The sequence below is a fragment of the Homo sapiens genome, chromosome 9 (assembly GCF_000001405.40).
Source record: "Homo sapiens chromosome 9, GRCh38.p14 Primary Assembly".
NCBI lineage: Eukaryota > Metazoa > Chordata > Mammalia > Primates > Hominidae > Homo > Homo sapiens.
The window spans coordinates 80,212,981-80,222,641 of NC_000009.12; positions in this window are offsets into that span (position 1 = coordinate 80,212,981).

The following is a 9,661-nucleotide window of genomic DNA, read 5'->3' on the forward strand; positions in this document are numbered from 1 at the left end:
CTGGGTAGAAAGGGGCAGGTCCCTAGTGAAGCCCCACCTTCAAGCCAAGGATGGCTTGAAGCCTGGATGCCAGGCTGCCAGTTCCGGGTGGTGTCTTTGGCCCAGAGTGAGAACTTATGGTGCTTTTACCAGGCTGCCCATGTCTACCCATGGCCACCCATGGACCAATCAACATGAATTTCCTCCCTTCTGAGTCCATAAAAACCCCAGACTCAGCTAGACTCACACAGATGTCTGAACTACCAGCTGTGGGAAGGAGCTACCCACTTCAGGTCTCCTTGACTCATCAGGATGACCTGCTTGTAGAAAGGAGCTATCCACTATGGGTCTACTCTGTGCTGAGAGCTGACACTCATTTGGAAGACTTGCCTGCATAAAGGAGCTACCCACTTTGGGTCTCCTGAGAGCTGTTCTGTCAATCAATGAAGCTCCTTTCTGCCTTGCTCACCCTCTAGTTGTCCACATAACTCATTCTTTCTGGATGCAGGACAAGAACTTGAGACCTGCTGAATGGTGGGCCTGAAAGAGCCATAACACAAGGAGGGCTGAAACATGGCCACAGCTCACCACATTGCAGGCAATGAGAAAGAGAGAAGACCTGTGGCCTTTTGGGAAGCCCAGACTTAGGGGCTCCCGAACAAGGGCTGTGACACCCTCTTTGGGGCTTTACGGTTCCTGGCGTCTCAAAGCCTCTGGGCACCACCACATTCCCTGGTGCCTGCAGTGGAAGCCGCTTGGGGTACACCTGGTTCAGCTGAAGCCTCACATGGAGCTGGTGCCTGTGCCAGTGCCTGGAGCTGCCCACCCTGCCATAGCTGGCACACCTGGCTGTTTGCAGTGGCCAGACCCAGGATTCACTCACACACCCCTCGCCGCTCCACACCTGGCTTGCCCTTGGCAGGCATGGGATCCAGGACAGTAGCATGAGCCAAGCGCAGCCTGCCAGGCAGAGTGGGTGGAACTAGCCCAAGTAGAGGTGCTGCAGGCCACAGAGGTTTCTGGCTGGTGAAGTGACACGCTAAGGATCCCAATTACATAATGATAAAGGAATCAATTCAACAACAGGATGAAACAATTGTAAATATACATGCACCCAACATTGGAGCACTTAAATATATAAATCAAGTATTATTAGATCTAAAAACAGTGGTAGACTACAATACAATAATAGTAAGAGACCTCAACACCTCACTGAAAAATGGACAAATCATCTAGGCAGAACACCAACAAAGAAACAGACTTAAACTGCATCATAGACCAAATAGACCTAAGAGACATTTACAGAACATACCGTTCAACAGCTGCAAGATATACATTTTTCTCAACTGCATATAAAATATTCTCCAGGATAGATGATTTGTTAGGCCACCAAAAAAGTCTTAACAAAATTAAGAAGGTAAAGATTATATGAAGTACCTTTTCTGGCCACAGTGGTGTAAAATTAGAAATTAACAAAAAGGAAAACTTTAGAAATTTTACAAATATATGGAGATTATACAACATGATCCCAAATAATCAATGTGTCAATGAAGGAATTAAAAGAAAAATTTAAAAATTTCTTGAGATAAATGAGAACCTATGGGACACAGCAAAAGCAGTTCTAAGATGCAAGCTTATAGCCATAAACACCTACATCATAAAGGAAGAAAGAATTCTATTAAACAACCTAATTTTGTACCTCAAGGAACTAGAAAGGTAAGAACAAACTAAATTCAAATTGGTAGCAGAAAGGAAATAATAAAGGTCAGTGCAGAAATAAACAAAATAGAAACCAAAATAACAATTCAAATGATCAATAAAATAAAAAATTGATTATTCGAAAATATAAACAAAACTGATAAACCTCCAGCTACTTTAAGAAAAATGAGAGAATACTCAAATAAAATAAGATATGAAAAAGAGACATTACAACTGATACCACAGGAATACAAAAGGTCATAAGAGACTATTATGAACTATATGCCAACAAATTTGACAATATAGAAAAAAATGCAAATTCATAGACACAACTACCAAGATTAAATCATGCAGAAACAGAACATCTGAAAAGACCAATATTGAGTGAAAGGATTGAATCAGTAATATGATGTATTCCATCAAACAAATCAAAGTCCAGAACCTAATGGCTTTGTCTCTGAATTCTACTAATCATTTAAAGAAGAACTAATATCTAATATCAATCTAATAGTCTCAAACTATTCCAGAAAGTTGAAGAGGAAGCCACACTTCCAAACTCATTTTACAAGGCTGCAATACCCTGATTCCGAAACCAGACAAAGTCACAATAAAAATGAAAACGGGAGGCCAATATCGCAGATGGAAATAGATGCAAAGACGCTCAAAAAGATACTAGTAAACTGTAGCACATGAAAAAGGTCATTCACTATGATCAAGTGGGATTCATCCTAGGGATGCAAAGATAGTTCAACATATGCAAATAAATAAATGTGATACAGGAAATCACCAGAAAAAAAATCATTTCAATAGACACAGAAAAAGCATTTGATAAAATGCAATATCCTTTAACGATAAAATCTCTCAATAAGTTACCTCAACACAGCAAAGGCCATATACAACAAACCCACAACTAACATATACTGAATGGAGAAAAGCTGAAGCTCTTTCTCCAAGATTAGGAACAAGATGAAGGTCTCCACTTTTACCACTGTATTCACCATAGTATGGGAAGTCCTAGCCAGAGCAATTAGGCGAGAATGAAAATAAAAGGCATACAAATTGGAAAAGAGGAGGTAAAATTATCCCTGTTTGTAGATGATGTGATATTATACATAGAAACCCTAAAAACTTCGCCAAAAAAACTGTTAGAGCTAATAAATGAATTCAGTGAATTCACAGAATACTAAATCAACATCAGTAGCATTTCTATATGCTAACAGTAAGCTATCTGAAAAAGAAATCAAGAAAACAATAATTGTATATCCACATGCAGAAGAATGAAACTAGATCCCTACATCTTACCATATACAAAAATCCACTCAAAATGGATTAACAACTTAAATGTAGAAACTGAAACTATAAGCTACTAGAAGAAAATATAGGAGAAATCTTTTATAATATTGGGCTTGGCAGGGACTTTTAAAATAAGACCTCAAAAACATAGGCAACAAAACAAAAATAGACTAATGAAATTAAATCAAACTAAAAAGCTTTGCACAGCAAAGGAACAGTTAACAGAGTAAAGAGACAATGTACAGAATAAAATATTTGCAAACTATACATCAGACGAGGGGTTAATAATCAGAATATATAAGGAGCTTAACAGCAAAAGCACAAACAACTTGATTTAAAAATGGGCAAAATACCTTGATAGACATCTATAGAAAGAATACATAAAATGGCCAACAGGTATATTAAAAATGATCATCATCAGTAATCATCAGAGAAGTACAAAGCAAAATCGCAATGCAATATCTCACACCTGTTAAAATGGCTATTTATTCAGTTGACGTAAAAGTAATTGCGTTTTTGCCGTTACTCTGCACCAACCTAATTTAAAAACAACATAATCAACAACAATAACAAAAGATATTAAGTGTTGGTGAGGATGCAGAGAAAAAGAAACATACACACGGTTGATGAGATTATAAAGCAGGGCAGCTATTATGGAATACAGTATGGAGGTTCCTGAAAAAATTGAAAATCAAGCTACTATATGATCCAGCAATGTTGCTACTGGGTATATATCCAAAGGCAATGAAATCAGCATGTTGAAGAGATGTCTGCACTCCTATATTTATTGCAGCATTATTCATAATAGCCAAGATATGAAATCAACTGATTCAACAGGTAAGTGGGTAAAAATAGGGGTATGCATACACATTGAAATACTTTCAGTCAGAAAAAACAATGAAATCCTGCTGTTCATGACAATTTGGATGAATCCAAAGGACATTATATTGAGTGAAATAAGCCAGACACAGAAAGATAAATAACCCATGATCTTACTCATAGTTGGAAGCAAAAAAAATATATATATATATAGATATATATATTGTAGAAGTAGAGTAGAACAGTGATTACCAAAGATTGGGGAGAAAAGGTGGGATGGGAAGATGGGGACAAGTTGATCAATTTGTACAGGGTCATAATAAGATAGGAAGAATTCTAGTATTCTATTATACAGTAGGGTAACTATGGTTAACAACAAGGTATTGTACATTACAAAATAGCCAGAAGAGAGGCTTTTAAATGTTCTCATTGCAAAGAAATAATAAATGAGGATGAGGTGACAGGCTGATTGCCCTTATTTGATCATTATACACCATGTACATGAATGGAAATATCAAATTCTACTCCATAAATATGTAGTTACAATGTGTGAATTAAAAAATTTAAAAAAATAGTTTCCAATATAAACAAACAGGTGCAACCAAGAACAAAACATGCTTTTTTTCCCTACAAAAAGTAGTTAGTGATAGTATAATCTGGATCTGGTAAGGGCTTCCTCCATTAGTATCTTAATATTTCAAAGCCCCTGGAATGGTGGTTCTCAAAATGTGATCACCTGACCAGCTTTGTCAGCATCACCTTATAACCTGTTCCATATTCGAATTATCAAGCCCTGCCACAGGCCTATGGAATCAGCAACTCTGGTGGAACCCAGCAATCTGTGCTTTAAAAGGCACTCCAGGTGATTTTCATGCACTCTAAAATGTCATGCCCTGGTGGAGGACAAGTTGTTCTTAGTATAGGTCCCTACTTGGTAAAGAGGCTTATCACAGCCAGAGCAAAGATTTGGACTAACTAAAGCTATTATGACAGAACTCGTTGCTGTAGTGATACAGAATGCCTTTTCTCCATTTCTTGGCAGAGACTGGTATCTGAAAGTAGGAGTAGGGATATAAAAATGCTTTCCATTTCAACACAGTGACCAGCTAACATGACATTTAGAGAAAACATGATCGAGGTTGGACAAATCACAGTGCTAATTAAAATTAAGCAAGTACGGACAAAATCTAGACTTCCTTACCCATTTTGGGGGAGGTAAATCTCATTGGGTAAAAGATCTTATTATTAAAAGATCTTTACAGCACATCCCTTCTGCTTATTTATTCTCAGTTTTAGCTGGACATTGGAATCATCTGGGGAACTTTAAAATTACTGATATTTCAACCCACTATCAGAGAACCAGAAATTCTGATTTAATTGGTCTGGGATGCAGCAGGATTTTTAAGAAGCTCTTCAGGTGATTCTAATGTAAGGCCAAATTTAGAAACCACTGCTTAAGCTTTGGTGCTTAAGAATTGCTGCTACTTCTTTTATTCTAGCCCTCCTGTGATGAGATCCAGCTGTAGTTGAGGCTTATGTTTCTTTTACTCTCATTATAAGATAACACTGAACCCAAAGCAAACCCTGTATGCCACCTGGTATAGCTGGATATCCAGAAATATCTGGTTATTTAAGATATATGCCATTTAAATCAGGGGTCCCCAGCTCCTGGCCCACAGACTGGTACCTGTTAGGAACCAGGCTACACAGCAGGAGGTGAGTGGTGGGCTAGCAAGGGAGATGAGCTTCATCTGTATTTACAGACACGCCCCATTGCTCACGTTAACACCTGAGCTCTGCCTCCTGTCAGCTCAGCAGCAGTCTTGGATTCTTGTAGGAGCTCGAATCCTATGGGGAACTGCAGATGTGAGGGATATAGGTTGCGCTCTCCTTATGAGAGTCTAACGTCTGATGATCTGTCACTGTCTACCGTCACCCCCAAATGAGACCATCTAGTTGCAGGGAAACAAGCTCAGGGTCCTCACTGATTCTACATTATGGTGAGTTGTATAATTATTTCTTTATATATTACAGTGTAATAATAATAGAAATAAAGTGCACAGTAAATGAAATGTGCTTGAATCATCCGGAAACCATCCTCTCCGACGGTGGTTCATAGAAAAATTGTCTTCTATGAAACCGGTTCCCAGTGCCAAAAAGGTTGGGGACTGCTGATTTAAATAATATCACTGATCTATTAAAAGCTCACATATACATTGAATTAGTATGTTTGCTTTTGAAATCTTCATTTTAGGAAGCCATATCTCGAATCTAGTGGTCTTGTCATTACACAAATACCTGGGAATTTTGTTTTAGAGATTTCTTTTTTTAAACTCCAGGGATTAAAACCAAAATTGCTCGGTGTTATTTGTGCTGGTGCCATGAAAATCTCCTGCTATCAGACCTTAACTATTATTTAGCAGCTTATTTAGTCTTTCTGACATAAACCTCACTAATCTTTTCTATGCCTACACTGCTAATATTTCAGGCCGGACCCACTTAAATATTTTTAAAATGTTGTAATATAGATTCACAAGAGGTTACAGAGAATTATATGGGTAACTCGGTGTACGCATCATCCAGCCTCCCCCAAAGCTGACATGTTTCATGAATATAGTATATTATCAATACCAGGAAATTGACATTCATACAGTTCATAGAGCTTATTCAGATTTTACTAGTTCTATGTGCTGTCTTAGTACATTTGAGCCACTAGTGTCTACCGATGCTGATCTGTGAGGTAAATCAGATCCTCATCTACCCCAGGTGTGAGGTAGAGAGAGCCTCACTGCTGCAGTCACTGCTTTGCATTAGGCCACTTTTGCTCCAGGTGTGGGGTGAGGCACCACTGAAGCTACTAGAGCTGTGGATCACAAGGCTGGACCTCGCTTTAGATAATGCTTAGATCTGAATACATAGCGTGAGCCTTGCAGGCCCTCTGTCTTTGTTAATATTTTCTATTGCCGTCATATAACTTACTGTACATTTAGTGACTTAATAAATATATTTATTATCTTAAACTTTATGTCAGAAGCCTGACAGATCTCAATGGGCTAAAATAAAGGTATTGGCAAGGCTGAATTCATTTCTGAAGGCTCGAGGGCTGAACCCCTTTGCTGGACTTTACCAGCTTCTAGAAGTCAATTGCAGTTCTTGGTTCAGGTGCCACTTTCTTCATTGTCTAAGCCAGCAATATTGCATCTCTGACCATTCTTCTACTGTCATCTGTCTCTCTCCTTCCCTCTCCCTCCCCAGATGGGGATAGTTCCCTGCTTTTAAAGACTCATGTGATTTGATTTGATTTGTTCCCTAAGAAAATCCATGATAATCTATTTCAATGTAACTTTTACAATATCTGTAAAGCCCCTTTTTTCCATATAAGGTAAAATATTCACAGGTTTGGGGGACTAGGGTGAGGATGTCTTTGGGGGCAGTTATTCTGCCTATCATACCCTCAATGAGTGGCCATGAGAAAATTATTGAGCTTTTCTGGTTTTATTTTCCTCATCTATACAAACTGCAGAAGAATATCTAGTTTGCGTTAGGGAAATAAAATAGCATACAGGTATAGAAAGCAACTAGCACAGAAAGTAAAATTTCATCTTTTTCTTTTACATTATTCTCCGAGTACATTCACTTGAACAGTTACTTTTTTTTTTTTTAAACAGAGTTGGCCGGGCGCGGTGGCTCACGCCTGTAATCCCAGCACTTTGGGAGGGTGAGGCGGGCGGATCATGAGGTCAGGAGATGGAGACTATCCTGGCTAACATGGTGAAACCCCGTCTCTACTAAAAATACAAAAAAATTAGCCGGGCGTGGCGGCGGACGCCTGTAGTCCCAGCTACTCGGGAGGCTGAGGCAGGAGAATGGCGTGAACCCGGGAGGTGGAGCTTGCAGTGGGCCGAGATCGTGCCACTGCACTCCAGTCTGGGCGACAGAGCGAGACTTCGTCTCAAAGAACAAAAACAAAAACACATGTATCCTAGATCTTAAAGTATTAAAAAAAAAAAAAAACAGAGTTAACACGTTTTAGGGTTCAGGTGCTATGGGTTGTTTGAATTATCTGAGTTGCAATTAGCTAAACACAGATGTAAAACATTTGATTTTTTGTCTTGTATTCTTTATCCTCTCCTCCTGTTAAATCTATAAGCCCTTGTCTAGCTACAGTCAGCTTATTTTACTATTTAACCCTAGTTCAATTTAAATTCTCTCTACATCTCTATTATGTGTCTAGAATTGGATATGGTTGTGGTTCTTAACCCTAGTTGTACATCATAATCATTTGGGGACTTTTCAAAAAATACTGATGCCGAATTATTATTATGGATATTTGGAGAGGGACCTGAGAATAAGAAGCTCTGGCTTGTGGTTTCTGGAGCCAAATTATCGTCGACACTGAGTCAAATCATTCAAGAGATCATTTCTTAAAAGGATTTTGTCTATCATGACCAATATTCTTCCTTCGCCAATATACTTGATTTGTGCTGATTTGAAAAGCAGCAGCAGTTTGGCCCCCTGAATTATATTCTCATGCTGTAGAATTATATCTTCAAATGCTCATTTCTTTTTCCTGTTCTCAGCCTCATGGACTCATATCCTTGGGCAACTTTTAACGTACCACATTGTTCTACTTACAAACTCAGCAAGTCAAGATTCCCAGTGATGAAAATAGATCTTCTATGGGCACCCCCCTGGGAGTATAGGTCAGTTCCAGACCTATCATATGTTAGTTGAAGCAGATACAAGTGGTATTGTATTTTTGGCATTCTTCCTAGTTAGTTGTAGAGAGAATAAGACAAAGTTTTATCTCTTTAGGTGTCATCTGAGTGAATAGGCTGCTCCTCTCCAATGCCTGGTGTGTGCAAAATTAAAGATAGAATGTTATCTCCAGGAGGGATCGACCAGTTCAAATAAACTGCCCACTAAAAGATGAGGAACCTGTGGCTGAAATGGTTAATTTTACATGACAACTTGGCTAGGCCATGATGCCCAGATATTTGCTCAGACATTATTCTGAGTCATTCTGTGAAGGTGTTTTTTTTTTGGGTGAGATTAACATCTATATGGTGGATTTTGAGTAAAGCTGATTGCCTGCCATGTTTGTGGGACTCATCTAATCAGTTGAAGACCTTAATGGAAAAAAACCTGACCTCCCATGAGCAAGTAGTAATTCTGCTATCAGACTGCATTCTGCCAGAACTGCAGCTTTTCCTTGGGTCTGCAGCCTGGTGGCCTACCCTGCAGATTTTGAATTTACCATACCTCCAAAATTGTATGAGCTAACTCCTTTCTCTCTCTCTTTGTTTATAAAACCTCCTGTTTTATTTCTCTGAAAAAATCTGACTAATACAGCAGGCCATATAGATAAAGGGATGAGTCCAACTTCACCCAGGTAGAAAGTAGCACAGCGAGAACTAGAATTTAGTCTCATGAATCATTGACTCACAGTCTCTGATGAACACTAAGCCAGCACTGGAGTTGGGAAACTATGGCCAACTGATCAAATTCTGCTTGGCTCCTGGTTTTGTAAATAAAGTCTTATGGAACACATACAATACATTAATGTATTGTATATGGGTGTTTTCATGCTAAAACAGCAGAGTTGAGCAATTGCAATGGAGAAGTATGACCCGCAAAATCTAAAATGTTTACCTTCTTACCTTTTACAGAAAAAGTTTGCTGACCCCTGCCCTAGAATGGCATCTGATTCCTGACCACTCTAAGGGGAATAATTCATGCACATTGGGTCAGATGATCAATTTCTTGTTCTGCTTAGGTCAATGATCTCTTAAATTTTATTCCTCCCAGGTGGCCAAATTGGAAAGGAATAGCTGAAGACATGCAGATATGTTTTGCTATGTCTGTTCACCTC